General features: G+C 38.3%; 1 long non-coding RNA gene across 3 annotated transcripts in view; it reads right to left on the bottom strand.

Moving 5' to 3' along the window:
• Positions 1-3,066: 3,066 nt before the first annotated feature.
• LOC124902160 (uncharacterized) overlaps positions 3,067-18,823 on the bottom strand; it is a 35,296-nt gene continuing 19,539 nt past the window's right edge. For all 3 annotated transcript variants that reach the window (XR_007061499.1, XR_007061498.1, XR_007061500.1), the window contains 2 exons: positions 12,917-13,087; positions 3,067-4,689 (listed from right to left, as the gene is read on the bottom strand). This is a non-coding gene — a long non-coding RNA (uncharacterized LOC124902160). The remainder of the gene's footprint in view (positions 4,690-12,916; positions 13,088-18,823) is intronic.

Here is an 18,823-nt window from a genome sequence, read left to right on the forward strand (position 1 = left end):
AATATTATATCTAAAAATCCATTATCAAACCTAATGTCACTCATTACATGTAAAGCATGCTTTCTTTTTCAACTATTCTAGTGGTTCCCCAGAGTATCCAATACACATTTGTTACTAATCTAAGATCACCTTCAAATAGCACTCCACCAGTTCACATATAGTGCAGGTACCTTAATAAGAAGTTACAGCGTGCTGGCAGCCCTTGCTCGCTCTCCGTGTCTCCTCGGCCTGGACGTCCACCCTGGCCGCGCTTGAGGAGCCCTTCGCCCCACCGCTGCACTGTGGGAGCCCGTCTGTGGGCTGGCCAAGGCCGGAGCATGCTCCCTCTGCTTGCGGGGAGGTGTGGAGGGAGAGGCACAGGCGGGAACTGAGGCTGCGCGCGGCACACGCGGGGGCGGCCCTGCACTCAGAGCGGTCAGACTGGTGCCACAGGCCCTGGGCAGTGAGGGGCTTAGCACCCAGGGCCAGCCGCTGCGGAGTATGCGCTGAGTTCCGCATCACTGCCAGCCCGCCCGCTCTAGGCTCGAATTCTTGCCAGGCCTCAGCCGCCTCGCTGTGGGGCAGGGCCCGGGACCTGCAGCCCGCCATGCCCGAGCCTTTCCCCGCCCGCGCCTTCCCCCGTGGGCTCCCAGCGGCCAGCGGGAGTCTCCCCAACGGCACTGCCCCCTGCTTCGTGGCGCCTGGTCCCATCAACCACCCAAGGGCTGACTAGTGCAGGCACCTGGCGTGGGACTGGCGGGCAGCTCCCCCAGCGGCCCCAGCGCAGGATCTGCTAGGCAAGCCAGCTGGGCTCCCCAGTGAGGTGGGGTCTTGGAGAACTTTTGTGTCTAGCTGGAGGATTGTATATGCGCCAATCAGCACTCTGTGTCTAGCTCAAGGTTTGTAAATGCACCAATCAGCACCCTGTCAAAACAGGCCAATCAGCTCTCTGCAAAATGGACCAATCAGCAGGATGTGGGTGGGGTCAGGTGAGGGAATAAAAGCAGGCTGCCACAAGGGACAGTGATAACCGGCTTGGGTCCGTTTCCGTGGTGTGGAGGGTTTGTGTTTTTGCTGTTTGCAGTAAATCTTGCTGCACACTCTTTGGGTCCACACTGCCTTTATGAGCTGTGACAACCACCGGGAAGGTCTGCAGCTTCACTCCTGAGGCCGGTGAGACCAGGAACCCACTGAGAGGAATGAATAACTCCAGACGTGCTGCCTTAAGAGCTGTAACACTCACCGCGAAGGTCTGCAGCTTCACTCCTGAAGCCAGCAAGACCACAAACCCACCAGAAGGAAGAAACTCCGAACACGTCTGAACGTCAGAACAAATTCCGGACACACCATCTTTAAGAACTGTAACACTCACCACTAGGGTCTGCAGCTTCATTCTTGAAGTCAGTGAGACCAAGAACCCACCAATTCTGGACACGTTAATAGAATAGTCCCAGTTCATCCTTCATATCTTTTGTAACATAACCATCAGGCATTTCACTTACCCACATGCTGTAATTGCCCAAAACATTTACTAATATTACTTTAAACAAACATGTAGTTTAAAAAGATTTACAATAAGAAAAATAAAAAATTTTTTTTCCTTTTTCAACATACTTGCTTTCTTATTGTAAATACAGGTTTCTGATCTATATCACTCTTCTCCTCCATGAATAACCTCTTTTAACACATTTGCAGGAAAGTTTTCTGGCAATATATTCCGTTAGTGTTTTATTGTCTGGTAAATTCTGATTTCCCCTCTGCTTTTGAAGTATAATTTTGCTAGATGTAGAATTCTAAGTTGGTGCATTTATTCCTAAACATTTCCCGCAACTCTCTTCTTTCTTGCCTGGTTTCTTACTGGAAGTGGGCTGAAATCCTTGCTCTTTTTTCTCTACAAGGAATGTAGTTTTCATTCCAGATTCTGTCAAGATTTTCTCTTTGTCTATTTATTGATTTATTTTATTTTATTTTATTCTACATATAGGAAATGCTATGTCTGGTGCTGTATTTTTGTTGTTTGTCATGAATTGTATTCTCTGAGCTTCCCGGACCGGTTGTTTGTTTCATGTCATTATGTTTTAAAATTTCTTGACCATTACTCATTTAGATAGATTCTCCTCATTTCTCTCTTTCTTGTCTTTCTGCTATTCCAGTTTCCCATTTTGTACAACTTTAGAAACTGCCCAGCGGGTCTTTGATGTCCTTCACTTTTTTTTTCCGTTTATTTTTTCTTGGCACTTTGTTTTAAAATGTATTTTTGACCTATCTTTAGTTTCACCAATTCTTTCCCCAAACATGTCTGGTCTACTAATGAAACCATTGAAAGCATTTTAAAAAAATCTATTGGCGTTATTTTAATTTCTAGCCTTTTATTTTGGTTCTTTGTTAGAATTTTCATCTCTCTGCTTATACTAATCATCTTTTATTGAATATTTTCTACATTTTCCACTAGTGTCCTTAACATCTTAATCATAGTTATGTAAATTTCTTGATTGCTATTTCCAAAATATGCATCATCATCACTGAGTCTTGTTCTGATGATCATCCTGTCTCTTCAGATTGTTAATTTTTTTCTTGCCTTTTACCATGTTTTGTAATTTTGTTGCCATTGTTGAGAGCTAGACATGTGGTATCCATAATAGATATTGAGATAAATTGATGCTGAGATAAATTGATACTGAGATAAAGTTAATTGAGGATATATGTTAATCTGTCTTGGAGTTGAACTGCATTTAATATTTGTTATAGCTCAAGTTTCTGAAGGTTTCAAATTCCTCTAGTGTCCTTGTTTTTGTCTCCTCCCTTAACTTTAGGTTTCCTTAAGTACTCATCTTCAAACAGTGTCTGTTTCTTATAGCTCTTTTGTCTGTCTCCTTATATTGGAGTCATGTTGGTTTAAATTTTATGGTATGAGCAGAGAAATATGTTCTACAGTGCTCTGATTGAATATCCGCCTTTCAGTGGGCCTATGTCTTAGGTTATGACTTTTACGAGTGTTTTGCCAGTAGTTTATCTTTTGTCCCTATTACAGGACTGCCAGATTCATATGCCCACTGAGCAGCAATAGACCAATACACTGAGACATCATAATTTGCAGCAGAAAAAGAGTTTAATAATCACAATGCCATTGGGCAAAGAGATGAAGGAATCCTCAAGCTTCACATCTGTCTGCTTGAGGGGTTCTGGGCCAGGGTTTTTAAGGGGATTGTGGCGGGTGAGGTTCTGGAGAATTGGGGTTGTCAATTGCTCAGGTCAAGGAAGATTAAATCATCATGATGTGAAAACTGCATTCTTCTGTGAGTCGGCTCCTTGCTGGGACCTTCAGATCAACTGGCATCAACAATTTTATCAGTATGCGTAACATAAAGGAGAAACTCAAACAGAAAGCATATCATCTCATGTGCCTTAGATCTTATCTATAGAAAAGAAAAGGAACACATTCTTGTGACAAGGGCTACACTATCTTGGGGGAGTAAGAAGTAACTAGCTACAAGGAAGTAGGCCAAATTGGGAAGTGGATTTCATGATTGCCACTGATTATTCTGCAAGCCTAGTTGAATTTTATTTTCTCCCTTAATTGGTTTATAAACTTTTCTTTGGGACAGTTTCATCCTTTATCCCCTTTAGATGAGAAAAGAAGGTTAAATGAGGAGGTGCCAAGATGGCCAATTAGAAGCAGCTGTGGTCTGTGACTCCCATCTAGAAGAACAAAAATGGCGAGTGAATTCTGCACCTTCATCTGAGGTATCCAGATTCTCTCACTGGGAGTGACAAGGTGATTGGCCTGACCCACAGGGAGCAAGGAAAAGCAGGGTGGAGCAATGCCTCACTTGGGAGCTGCATGGGGCAAGGGGCACTCCCACCCCCAGTCAAGGGAGGCAGTGAGTGATTGTGCTCCCTTTCCTGAGGAACCATGCTTTTTCCATGGATCTGTGCAACTCACAGATCAAGAGATCCCCTTGTGAGTCCACACCACCAGGGCCTTGGGTGCCAAGCACAGAGCTGTGCAGACTCTCATCACCGCTCAGGCTGTGGCCAGTGACAGCAGACTGGAGACTGTCTAAGATGACTGAGTTCCCAGGGGAAGGGGTGGTTGCTATCACTGTGGCATCAGTTGGCTGTTTTCCCCTGGTGGTGCTGGGGAGACAGGGAGGTTTAGACCGGGAGCACAGCAGCTGTGGCAGATCATGGCCAGACTGCTTTTTTAGGTGGAACCTGGATCCATCCCTACTCATTGGGTGGGGCCCCCTTGTGGGAATTTCACCAACTCCAGCCAGAGGTTTATGGACAGAACTCTGATCTTCCTGGGCAGAACTCCTGTGGGGAGGGACAGCCACAGTCTCTGCGGTTCAGCAGACTTAGTCTTTCCTGCCTGCTGGCTCTGAAGGGTCTGGACATTCTGGACAAGGGAGATTCCCTCCAGTGCAGTGCACCCTCTCTGCCAAGGGGCAGCCAGAGTGCTTTGTTAAGTGGTCCCCGATCCTGTACATACTCCCTAACTGATTGAGACCACCAACAGGGGTCTCCAGGCACCTTATACAGGAGTGTTCCTGCTGGCATCACATCAGTGCCCCTCTGGGATGGAGCTCAAAAAAGAAGGAGCAGGCAGCCATCCTTGCTGTTCTGCAGCTTCCACTGGTGACACCTCCAGGTAGGGGAGGGACCAAGTGAATAGGGTCTGGAGTGGACCCCCAGCAAACTGCGGCAGCCCTAAGGAAGAGGGGTCTGACTGTTGAAAGAAAAACAAACAAACAGAAAACAACAACAACAAAAACATCCACAAAAATGGCCCCACAAAAACCCCTTCCAAAGATCAGCAGCCTCAAAGATCGAAGATAGATAAGCTCATGAAGATGAGAAAGAATCAATGCAAAAATGCTGAAAACTCAAAAAGCCAGAATGCCTCTTCTCCTCCAAATGATTGCAACACCTCTCCAGCAAGGGCACAGAACTGGGTGGAGGCTTGAGGTGGATGAACTGACAGAAGTATTCTTCAGAAGGTGGGTAATAACAAATTTTGCTGAGCTAAAGTATATTCTAAAACAATTCAAAGACGCTAATAACCATGAAAACATTATAGGAACTGTAAACCAGAATAACCAGTTTATAGAGGAACATAAATGACCTGATGGACCTGAAAAACACAACACCAGAACTTCACAATGCAACCACAAGCATAAATAACTGAATAGACCAAGCAGAGGAAAGAATCTCAGAGCTCAAAGACTATCTTGCTGGAATAAGACAGGCAGATAAGATTAGAGAAAAAACTGAAAAGGAATGAAAAATAATCAGAGAACTATGGAATTATGTAAAAAGACCAAACCTACAACTGATTGGGGTACCTGAAAGAAATGAGGAGAATGAAACCAAGTTGGAAAACATACTTCAGGAAATCATTCAGGAGAATTTCCCCAACCCAGCAAGACAGGCCAACATTCAAATTCAGGAAATTCAGAGGACTTCAGTAAGATCCATGAGAAGATCAACCCAAAACACATAATTGTCAGTATCTCCAAGGTCAAAATGAAGGAAAATTGTTAAGAGCCACGTCACCTAGAAAAGGAAGTCCATCAGAATAACAGTGGACTCCTCAGCAGAAACCCCATAAGCCAGAAGAAATTGGGGGCTAATATTCAACAGTCTTTTTTTTTTATACTTTAAGTTTTAGGGTACATGTGCACATTGTTCAGGTTAGTTACATATGTATACATGTGCCATGCTGGTGCGCTGCACCCACTAACTCATCATCTAGCATTAGGTATATCTCCCAATGCTATCCCTCCCCCCTCCCCCCACCCCACAACAGTCCCCAGAGTGTGATATTGCCCTTCCTGTGTCCATGTGATCTCATTGTTCAATTCCCACCTATGAGTGAGAATATGCAGTGTTTGGTTGTTTGTTCTTGCGATAGTTTACTGAGAATGATGATTTCCAATTTCATCCATGTCCCTACAAAGGACATGAACTCATCATTTTTTATGGCTGCATAGTATTCCATGATGTATATGTGCCACATTTTCTGAATCCAGTCTATCATTGTTGGACATTTGAGTTGGTTCCAAGTCTTTGCTATTGTGAATAATGCCGCAATAAACATACGTGTGCATGTGTCTTTATAGCAGCATGATTTATAGTCCTTTGGGTATATACCCAGTAATGGAATGGCTGGGTCAAATGGTATTTCCACTTCTAGATCCCTGAGGAATCGCCACACTGACTTCCACAATGGTTGAACTAGTTTACAGTCCCACCAACAGTGTAAAAGTGTTCCTATTTCTCCACATCCTCTCCAGCACCTGTTGTTTCCTGACTTTTTAATGATTGCCATTCTAACTGGTGTGAGATGGTATCTCATTGTGGTTTTGATTTGCATTTCTCTGATGGCCAGTGATGATGAGCATTTTTTCATGTGTTTTTTGGCTGCATAAATGTCTTCTTTTGAGAAGTGTCTGTTCATGTCCTCCGCCCACTTTTTGATGGGGTTGTTTGTTTTTTTCTTGTAAATTTGTTTGAGTTCATTGTAGATTCTGGATATTAGCCCTTTGTCAGATGAGTAGGTTGCGAAAATTTTCTCCCATTTTGTAGGTTGCCTGTTCACTCTGATGGTAGTTTCTTTTGCTGTGCAGAAGCTCTTTAGTTTAATTAGATCCCATTTGTCAATTTTGGCTTTTGTTGCCATTGCTTTAACTCATTTTATGAGGCCAGCATCATTCTGATACCAAAGCCAGGCAGAGACACAACAAAAAAAGAGAATTTTAGACCAATATCCTTGATGAACATTGATGCAAAAATCCTCAATAAAATACTGGCAAAACGAATCCAGCAGCACATCAAAAAGCTTATCCACCATGATCAAGTGGGCTTCATCCCTGGGATGCAAGGCTGGTTCAATATATGCAAATCAATAAATGTAATCCAGCATATAAACAGAGCCAAAGACAAAAACCACATGATTATCTCAATAGATGCAGAAAAAGCCTTTGACAAAATTCAACAACCCTTCATGCTAAAAACTTTCAATAAATTAGGTATTGATGAGATGTATTTCAAAATAATAAGAGCTATCTATGACAAACCCACAGCCAATATCATACTGAATGGGCAAAAACTGGAAGCATTCCCTTTGAAAACTGGCACAAGACAGGGATGCCCTCTCTCACCACTCCTATTCAACATAGTTTTGGAAGTTCTGGCCAGGGCAATTAGGCAGGAGAAGGAAATAAAGGGTATTCAATTAGGAAAAGAGGAAGTCAAATTGTCTCTGTTTGCAGACGACATGATTGTATATCTAGAAAACCCCATTGTCTCAGCCCAAAATCTCCTTAAGCTGATGAGCAACTTCAGCAAAGTCTCAGGATACAAAATCAATGTACAAAAATCACAAGCATTCTTATACACCAAAAAGAGACAAACAGAGAGCCAAATCATGAGTGAACTCCCATTCACAACTGCTTCAAAGAGAATAAAATACCTAGGAATCCAACTTACAAGGGATGTGAAGGACCTCTTCAAGGAGAACTACAAACTACTGCTCAAAGAAATAAAAGAGGATACAAACAAATGGAAGAACATTCCATGCTGATGGGTAGGAAGAATCAGTCTCGTGAAAATGGCCATACTGCCCAAGGTAATTTACAGATTCAATGCCATCCCCATCAAGCTACCAATGACTTTCTTCACAGAATTGGAAAAAACTACTTTAAAGTTCATATGGAACCAAAAAAGAGCCCGCATCGCCAAGTCAATCCTAAGCCAAAAGAACAAAGCTGGAGGCATCACGCTACCTGACTTCAAACTATACTAGAAGGCTACAGTAACCAAAACAGCATGGTACTGGTACCAAAACAGATATATAGATCAATGGAACAGAACAGAGCCCTCAGAAATAACGCCACATATCTACAACTATCTGATCTTTGACAAACCTGAGAAAAACAAGCAATGGGGAAAGGATTCCCTATTTAATAAATGGTGCTGGGAAAACTGGCTAGCCATATGTAGAAAGCTGAAACTGGATCCCTTCCTTACACCTTATACAAAAATCAATTCAAGATGGATTAAAGAGTTAAACGTTAGACCTAAAACCATAAAAACCCTAGAAGAAAACCTAGGCATTACCATTCAGGACATAGGCATGGGCAAGGACTTCATGTCAACAGTCTTAAAGAAAAGAATTTCCAGCTCAGAATTTCATATCTGGCCAAACTAAGCTTCATGAGCAAAGAAGAAATAAAATCCTTCTCAGACAAGCAAATACTGAGGGAATTCATCACAACCAAGACTGCCTTGCAAGAGCTCCTAAAGGAAGCACTGAATATGGAAGGGAAAAACCATTACCGGCCACTACAAAAACACAGTAAAGTACACAGACCAATAATATTATGAAGCAACAACATTAACAAGTCTGCAAAATAACCAGATAGCATCATAATCACAGGACCAAATTCACACATAAGAATATTAACCTTAAATGTAAATGGACTGAATGTCCCAATTAAAAGACAAAGACTGGCAAACTGGATAGTCAAGACCCACCAGTGTGCTGTATTCAGGTGAACCATCTCATATGCAAAGACACACATAGGCTCAAAATAAAGAGATGGAGGAAAATTTACCAAGCAAACGGAAAGCAGGAAAAGGAGGGGTTGCAATTCTAGTGTTTGAGAAAACAGGCTTTAAATCAACAAAGATAAAAAAAGACAAAGAAGGGAATTACATAATGGTTAAGTATTCAGTTCATCAAGAAGAGGTAACTATCCTAAATACACATGCACCCAATTCTAGAGGACCCAGATTCATAAAACAAGTTCCTAGAGACCTACAAAGACATTTAGACTCTCACATAATAATAGTGGGAGACTTTAACACCCCACTGTCAATATTAGACAAATTATCAAGACAGAAAGTTAACAAGGATATTCAGGACTCAAACAGCTGTAGATCAAGTGGACCTGATAAGTATCTACAGAACTCTCCATTCAAAAACAACAGAATATACATTCATCTTGGAGCTACATGGCACTTACTCTAAAATCGATCACATAATTGGAAGTAAAACACTCCTCTGCAAATGCAAAATAACTAAAATCTTGATAGTCTCTCAGACCACAGTACAATCAAATTAGAACTCAAAATTAAGAAACTCACTCAAAACCACACAACTACATAGAAATGTAACATCCTGCTTCTGAATGACTACTGGGTAAAAAATGAAATTAAGGCAGAAGTCAAGAAGTTATTTGAAACTAATGAGAACAAAGAGACAATGTCCCAGAATCTCTGGGATACAGCTAAAACAGCATTGAGGAAATGTATAGCACTAAATATCCACATCAGAAATATCTCAAGTCAACATCCTAACATCACAGTTTAAAGAACTAGAGAACCAAGAACAAACAAACCCCAAAGCTAGCAGAAGGCAAGAAATAAGTAAGATCAGAGCAAAACTAAAGGAGATTGAGACAGGAAAAACCCTTCAAAAAATCAACAAATCCAGGAACTGTTTTTTTGAAAAAAATTAACAAAATAGACTTTTAGCTACACTAATAAGAAAAGAGAGAAGATCAAATAGACACAATAAAAAATGATAAAGGGGATATGAACACTGAGTTTACAGAAATACAAACAACCATCAGAGAATACTATAAAAACCTCTATGCAAATAAATTAGAAAATCTAGAAGAAATGGATAAATTCCTGGACACATAAACTCCCAAGATTGAACCAGGAAGAAGTTGAATCCCTGAATAGACCAATAACAAGTTCTGAAATTAAGGCAGTAATATATAGCCTACCAACCAATGAAAGACCAGGACCAGATGGAATTATGGTGGAATTCTACCAGATGTACAAAGAGGAGCCAGTGCTATTTCTTCTGAAACTATTCCAAATGATTGAAGAGGAGAGACTCCTCCCTAATTCATGTTATGAGGCCAGCATCATCCTGATACCAAAGCCTGGGAGAGATACAACAAAACAAGACAACTTCAGGCCAATATCCCTGATGAACATCGATGCAAAAATCCTCAATAAAATACTGGCAAGCCAAATCCAGCAGCACATCCAAAAGCTTATCCACCACAATCAAGTTGGCTTCATCCCCGGGATACAAGGCTGTTTCAACATATGCAAATCAATAAATGTAATCCATTACATAAACAGAACTAAAGATAAAAACCTCATAATTATCTCAATAGATGCAGAAAAGGCCTTTCAACAACACTTCATGTTAAAATTCAACATCCCTTCATTTTAAAAACTCTCAATAAACTAGGTATTGAAGGACCATACCTCAAAATATTAAGAGCCATTTATGACAAACTAACAACCCATATCATACTGAATGGGAAAAAGCTGTGAGCATTTTCATTGAAAAGAGGCACATGACAAGGATGCTCTTTCTTACCACTCCTATTCAACATATTATTGGAAGTTCTGGCAAGAACAATTAAGCAAGAGAAAGAAACAAATGGTATTCAAATAGGAAGAGAGGAAGCCAAATTGTCTCTGCAGATGACATGATCCTTTATCTAGAAAACCCCATTGTCTCAACCCCATTGTCAGCAAAATCTCAGGATAAAAAATCAATGTGTGAAAATCACAAGGATTCCTGCACACTAACAACAGACAAGCAGAGAGCCAAATCATGAAAGAACTCCAATTCCACAATTGTTACAGAGAATAAAATACCTAGGAATACAGCTAAGAAGGGAAGTGATAGAAAGAACCAATATGATTAAAATGGCCATACTACCCAAAGTAATTTATAGATTCAATGCTATTCCCCTTATACTAACATTGACATTTTTCACAGAATTAGAATAATCTGTTTTAAAATTCATATGGACAAAAAAGAGTCTGTAGAGCCAAGATAATATTAAGCAAAAATAGCAAAGCTGGGGGGATCATGCTACCTTACTTCAAACTACACTACAAGGCTACCAAACCAGCATGTAAACAAAACAGCATAGTGGTGGTGCAAAAACAGACTCATAGACCAATAGAACAGAATTGAGAACTCAGAAATAAGACCACACAGCTACAACCATCTGATCTTCAACAAACCTGACAAACACAAGTAATGGGGAAAGGATTTTCTATTTAATTAATGGTGCTGGAAGAACTATGGAAGAACTTTAGCCATATGCAGAAAATTGAAACTGGACCCCCTTCCTTACACGTTATACAAAAATTAGCTCAAGATAGGTTAAAGACTTAAGTGTAAAATCCAAAACTATAAAAACCCTAGAAGAAAATCTAGGCAATACCATTCAGGACATAGGCATAGGCAAAGATTTCATGACAAAAATGCCAAAAACAATAGCAACAAAAGCAGAAATTAACAAATGGGGTCTAATTAAACTAAAGAGCTTCTGCTCAGCAAAAGAAACTATCATCACAGTGAACAGACAACCTACAGAATGGGAGAAAAATTTGCTATTTATCCATCCGACAAAGGTCTAATATCCAGAATTTACAGGGAACTTAAACAAATTTACAAGAAAAAAACAGACAATCCTATTAAACAGTGGGCAAAGGACATGAACAGGCACTTCTCAAAAGAAGACATTTATGTGGTCAACAAACATGCAAAAAAAAAGTTCAACATCACTAATCATTAGAGAAATGCAAATCAAAACCACAATGAGATACCATCTCACACTAGTCAGAATGGTGATTATTAAAAAGTCAAGAAACAACTGATACTGTTGAGGCTGCAGAGAAATAGGAATGCTTTTACACTGTTGGTAGGAATGTAAATTAGTTCAACTATTGTGGAAGACTGTGGCAATTCCTCGAAGTCCTAGAACCAGAAATACCATTTGACCCAGCAACCCCATTACTAGGTATGTACCCAAAGGAATATAAATCATTTTATTATAAAGATACATGCATGTGTGTGTTCATTGCAGCACTATTCACAATAGCTAATACATGAAATCAACCCAAATGCCCATCAATGATAGACTGGGTAAATAAAATGTGGTACATATACAACATGGAATACTATGCAGCCATAAAAGGAAATGAGATCAAGTCCTTTGCAGGGACATGGATGGAGCTGAAAGCCATTATCCTCAGCAAACTAATGCAGGAACAGAAAACCTTGAAATATGAGCTATAATGAGGGGCACTAGAGGTACTTGGCTTTAAAAAGACATAGGTGCAGTGACATGATGTTAGTTACATAGCCTTTGAAGTCATGTTGTGTGAAAGAGCAGTTGGATATTGACGTTGGCTACCAAAACCAATGGGTAGGCATTTAGATTTTGGTTCACTAGAAAACCTGAACTATCTATCGATTAAGCTCTCAAAAACTAAATAGACTGCTGTCTCCTAAATAAAATATGTCTCCCACTGTGGAAATGTCATTGATTTTCAATTTGTATAGCTTTTATTATTATTATTATTGTAAGGCCAGGAATGACAACTTCTGAGCCCTTCACATGTTGGTGATAAATCCAAAAGTCCTGTAATGTATTTGTTTTCTCATTTTTTAAAACCAAATATTTGAAGCTATTTTATTAAGGGTTTCCTTTTCCTCAAAAAGTAAATGCATTAAATATAATCTAGATATTCTACACTCATGAGAAAGATATTTCATTGTATATAACCAGAGCTATAGGCCTACAAACATTTGGACTTTATCAGAGGTAAATAATAAGAGATAATACTATTCGTTAAAATTAAAGTATAAATTTAGATCATTATTTTTAATTGGTTATTTTTTAAAGCTGACATAACTTTAATTTACAATGTAAACTCAGGAGTGAAAGAGCATTAAGTAACTCATGATCTGTAAAGAAAATTTCAAAATTTAAGGTAAGTAATGAGATTTCCCCATATTTCTGTGTTTAATTCATCAATGTTTTTAAAATACTTAAACCAGCTAAGAAGTGTGTTCAGGTTTCTATTTATTTTAAAAGTGACTTACGTATTTTTCTCACAAGGGGGGATGATTGTAGAGGAGTTTAGAGCCTGCATCGTGGTTCCAAGTTAGCATCACCGTTCCTGGTCCTTCCATCTTTCTGCTTAGTCATATTTAACTTGTGTTTATTTCTTCATGATCAGAATATGTGTCTTTCTCAACTATCATATGTATGTTCTAGGTAGAAAGGAGAAAAACAAGAATTTATGTTGTTCTGTCAAATTATAGAAAGTTTATTTGATAATAAATCAACTGTTAAAAAGTACCCCTTAAAAGTATAGTAAGTATACAATATTAAAAGAAAGCATGGGACTTTGCACAATTGTGAAATCTATTGAGAATTTTGTAAGTTTTTAAATTTTGATCTGTGCTGTCATTTATTAATTCAGTCAAAATTTGCTTCAAAAACACATAGTTGTCAGAATATGTAAGTGCCTTAGAAGAGTGCAATCTATAAGTAAAATAATTCTGAATATTCATCTGAAATAGTTTGAAAAGGTTTTGAAAATCTACTGTCTCTCTTATTTCTTGTAATCAACATATTTCTCAATAGGAAAATTCACCATTTGCCATCAAAATGTATTGTCTGAAACTTCCACTGGAACCTTCATATGGCAAAATATTTAGGCATTCTGAGGAGATGCAAAGTTTGCTAAGCAGAATAAATGTGTTTTAATATTTAATAATTATAAATGATATTTGGAAAATTATAAAGATGTTCTTAGTTCAATTAATAGAGTAAGATTTATATATCTATTAAGAGTGCTGGGCCAGACAGGGTGGCTCACGCCTGTAACCCCAGCACTTTGGAAGCCCGAGACGGGAGGATCACCTGAGGTCAGGAGTTTGAGACCAGCCTGGCCAACATGGTGAAACCCCATCTCTACTAAAAATACAAAAATTAGCAGGGCATGGTGGTGCTTGCCTGTAATCCCAGCTACTGAGGAGGCTAAGGCAGGAGAATTGCTTAAACTCGGGACATTTCAATGAGCTGAGATCTAGCCACTGCATTCCAGCCTGGGCAACACAGTGAAACTCCGTCTCAAAACAAAACAAAAAAAAAACAAAAGTGCAGGCAACACATTATAATCAATATTAAAAGTTTTTATGTTGAAAGATGGATAAGAATTAAAACTTTGATTTTTCAACTGAGATATTTAGTTGAGATATTTGAAATTACTGGAAAGCAAAAGGAAATTTTAATGTACTGCGGAGTAGCCTAGGGTAGTATGTGTATGTATTTCTACTAAATGCAAAAGAAAGTACCAGATAAAAATGCAATAGGCTTCTACTTCTAGTTCAGGATGGGAAAAGATGGGGAAGACCAAAAAAGATCTGCATAATGCACAAATCCATGTGATTTCTGAAGGGAGTGGACACGATCAGTCTTGATAAACTGATAACTAGTTAGTGGATCTGCAGGTTTCATCTGTGGTATTTTCTTTTAGATGATTTGTGTAGTGACTAAAAAACAGTCAATACATTTAAATAAACTGCACATTGTGCACATGTACTCTAAAACTTAAAGTATAATAAAAAAATAATACAATAAATAAATAAACTTATTTTCTGGTTTAGTAATTGAGGTTGGCCAATGTCTATTATTAATTGTTAACTATTTCCTAATCAATAATCTGTCTTATATTAAACTGTACATACACTTTACAAGAAATTTGAGTTACACTCACACATAACTGAATAACATATTTAATGCTTATATAGGCATGCATATAATGTTAAAATCTAGATATAAAAATAAGAAAATGAAACCATAATTTTTAAGTAATGGAACTTGTTCCAAAAGATCAAATGTGGTTATGCATAGGTATGACAATTCTGAATCCTGCCCTCAGGCAGCATCTGAACACTGTTTTATTAGCTATCAATAAATTGTCTGCACTGCAGGCCGATGATGGTTTAAGGACAGCAGTGTTAATAATAATGTTCAAAGTGTCAGTCTGGAGGGGAGGCAATAATTGACTGTATGAGACTATTAAGCTATAAAAACAATGTTTTATTTTGAGCATCAAAATATGATAGACAGAGCTTCAAATGCTCTTGGTGAAGTCATTATTAACACATACAAAACTGATTTTCATTCAACATTTACTGTAGAGAAAATTATATTCCATCAGGCTTTAAAATTGAGAAGAAAACAGAAAGAGTAAGTCTTAAATGCCTTTCTTCCTCACCTTCCTCCTTCACCTAGTTTGCCTGCGGACCTACACTGTTACATTCCCACATACCTCCTGTGTGTATTTCTTTGCAGATCATTTACCTTACATTTCTACATTTCCCCTTAATTTTTTCCTCATCAATAGATGAGAAAAAAAATTTGTTAAATCATGGTAGATGAATATGGACCAGATCATCCCATGAACTACGTTCAATCATTGGTTTTACCTTTCAAAAAATTCTGAATGAAATATGTAATAATTTAATATTCTAAAACTTTATTTTTTCAGGAATATTTACATATATTCACCCTTCCTTCTAAAACAGTGGCCAGAGCAGTTAGAAAACAAAAGCATGAGAAACAGTAACTCTTACAGTTGTATTATGCCTGTATGCCTTCCCAGTTCTGCAAAGATTATGAGGATTTTTTTAGGTCTGTACATAGTTTTAAAATATCCTAAAACAATCCACATAAATAAACTCATTACCATAATAATCTGCAAGATAGACATTGTCATCCTCAAGTAATATCAAATAAATCTTATTTGCCTGCAAGATCTGAATCTGAAAATCCCAAAGCTCAAGTTTACCTAGCTAATAGGTAGTAAGACTGGGGCCTCAATCTGGTTTATCTAATTCTGAAAAGTGTTTTGCTATAAAAGCACTATAGGAAATAAAACATTAGACTTTATACCTTTAGATAATAAGAATATTTATGTCATTGAACCTGAAAAGATACTGTTTAACTTTCATGTTCTACTTGTCATTTTTCTTTTCTGCTTTTATATGTAATTTAGGTAATAGATACCCAGGAATCAACTTAAATTCCCATCAGTGGTAGACTGGAAAAAGAAAGTACGGTACATATACACCATGAATTACTATGCAGCCATAAAAAAGAATGAGATCTGTCCTTTGCGGCAACATGGATGGAGCTTGGAGGCCATTATCCTTAGCAAAGTAACACAGGATCAGAAAACCCAATACTCCCTATTTTCACTTATCACTGGGAGCTAAATAATGAGAACACATTGACAGAAAGAGCAGCACAATAGACACTAGGGTGTGCTTGAGGGAGGAGGATGAGAGATGGGTGAGGTTCAGGGAAAAAAAAATTGTTGGGTACTATGCTTACTACTCAGGTGACAAAATAATCTGTACATCAAACCCCTGAGTCACGAATTTACCTAAAGAACAAACCTCCACACGTTCCCATGAACCTAAAAGTTAAAATATTTAAAATAATAATAATAATTTTAAAATGTGAAATGTTGTGATAATTACTAAAATGTCAAATAGAGACACAAGGTGAGCACGTTGTTGGAAAAATAGAATGAATAGACTTGCTTGATGCAAGATTGCCACAAACCTTCAATTTGTGAAAAATGTGTTATTTGTGAAGAGCTATAAAGTGAAGCACACGCAAAAAAAGTGAGTTTGATTAATGCAATTCATTGTTGCTGAAAGATACCTTGAAATATGAGCTATAATGAGGGGCACTAGAGGTACTTGGCTTTAAAAAGACATAGGTGCAGTGGCATGATGTTAGTTACATAGCCTTTGAAGCCATGTTGTATGAAAGAGCAGTTGGATATTGACGTTGGCTACGAAAACCAATGGGTAGGCATTTAGATTTTGGTTCAGTAGAAAATCTGAACCATCTATCGATTAAGCTCTCAAAAACTAAATAGACTGCTGCCTCCTAAATAAAATATGTCTCCCACCATGGAAATGTCAAGCTAGGGTCACAATTCAAGTAATGTAAATATGAATCTAATGACTTCCAAGATGCTTTTCCAACTTAAAGTGTTAGACAAGTACCTTTTAAAACAGTATACCATTTGAATTACCTGCAACCATTTTAATATTTCTGAGAGGGTTTTTTTTGTGTGTGCTCCTTCTTTCATCACATGGAGAGTTATTTTGCCTTTTAGGGTAAAATATAAAAACAAATGCACGTCACAATATGATGTGGCAAACGTTACCCAGAAGCCTTAGTGATGTTGTTGCGATGGTATTAGCATGCACAGAGTATGCAACTCGCAGCTCTGCTGTGTGCACTTGTTCTTTTGCTTTCTCTCATGTGTTCTGCTCCATATATTTTAAGAGAGTTTAATGTGGGTGTTCCAATTCAATCCCATTAGAGTACTATGTATATTATTGTTACTAAACCTTGCCTTCATAATCATTCCTAAGTATGTGGTCTATTGAAAAGCAATCATTTATATCTTTAGGAGGATGAATGGGAAGTCACAGATCTAGAACAATAATCAACTTGAACTCATGCTGCTAGCACAGGTATGGATTTTTAATATAATCTCAGGCAGGGAAGTGCTTGCAGGCATGTTTTCTCAGTCAGGAGCTGAGAGCATATGCACGATGGCAGACACAAGGTAACTACCCTTTGGCTGGTTGAAAGATGAAGTCATTATAAAGCTGGATTTTAAACCAAATGTAGTGCTGGCTGCTGTCTGAACTTACCTAAAACATACACTATATTTTAAAAAGAAGGCTGAGAGTCACAGAAGTAAAACAAATAAATTCCAAAGTTGGTGTTTTATATTATCATTTATCTGCAATAAGTGATAATTGATATTCCAAAAATATACTTTGCTTTGAATTCAAATTGTTTATTTTGAACAATTAGTGAGTTCATCTCTGCACATGCCTAAAGAAGATAAATCAATAAATAAAAGAATAAAAATTAAAACTCTATATAATAAACACTTGATTTCTTAGTCCTGATTTCTCTTTTATTATGAAGACCAGAAGCAGAATGTTATTCTATTTTACCTAAAAATATATATATGATCTTTAGAAACTCCTTGTCAGCAATCATCTATCTGTGTGTGGGTATATATATATATATATATATATATATATATATATATATATATATATCTCATACAAACAATATGTATCACATTTATATGTTATCAAGCACAATCATATAATAAACTCACAAATGTCCAACTCCAAAACTAGAAAATTATTAATAGCTTGTACTACTCCTGTGTTCTTCCCCATCTGCCTGTAGGAATTATTTCTTTTTCTAAAGTAGTTTTCTTACATACATATATATATATCAAAGAATGTGTTTTTGCTTATTTTTCAGCTACAAGTTTGTGTCACACTGTATATAGTCTACCGTATTACTTTTTTTTTTTTTTTTGAGACGCAGTCTCACTCTGTCACCCAGGCTGGAGTGCAGTGGCACAATCTCCATTCACTGCAACCTCCGCCTCCCGGGTTCAAGGGATTCTCTCCTGCCTCAGCCTTTTGAGCAGCTGGGATTACAGGTGCCCAACTACACCAGGCTTTTTTTTTTTTTTTTTTTTTGAGACCGAGTCTCGCTCTGTCGCCAGGCTGGAATGCAGTGATGTGATCTTGGCTCACTGCAACCTCCGCCTCCCAGGTTTAAGCAGTTCTCGCACCTCAACCTCCCGAGTAGCTGGGACTACAGGTGTGTGCCATAACACCCTGCTAATTTTTGTATTTTTAGTAGAGACAGGGTTTCACCATGTTGGCCAGGATGGTCTTGATCTCTTGACCTCGTGATCCACCCACCTTGGCCTCCCAAAGTGCTGGGATTACAGGTGTGAACCACCACACCCAGCTACTGTATTACTTTTTATGCCTCCAGAATTTTTCTGTGTTGTTGCAGGTGTCTGTTGTGCCTTAATTTTTGCTATTGTAGAGGATTCTATTATGTGCAATTGCGCAGCAGTGTATGTATCT

This window comes from Homo sapiens, chromosome 9 (assembly GCF_000001405.40).
Source record: "Homo sapiens chromosome 9, GRCh38.p14 Primary Assembly".
Taxonomy (NCBI): Eukaryota; Metazoa; Chordata; class Mammalia; order Primates; family Hominidae; genus Homo; species Homo sapiens.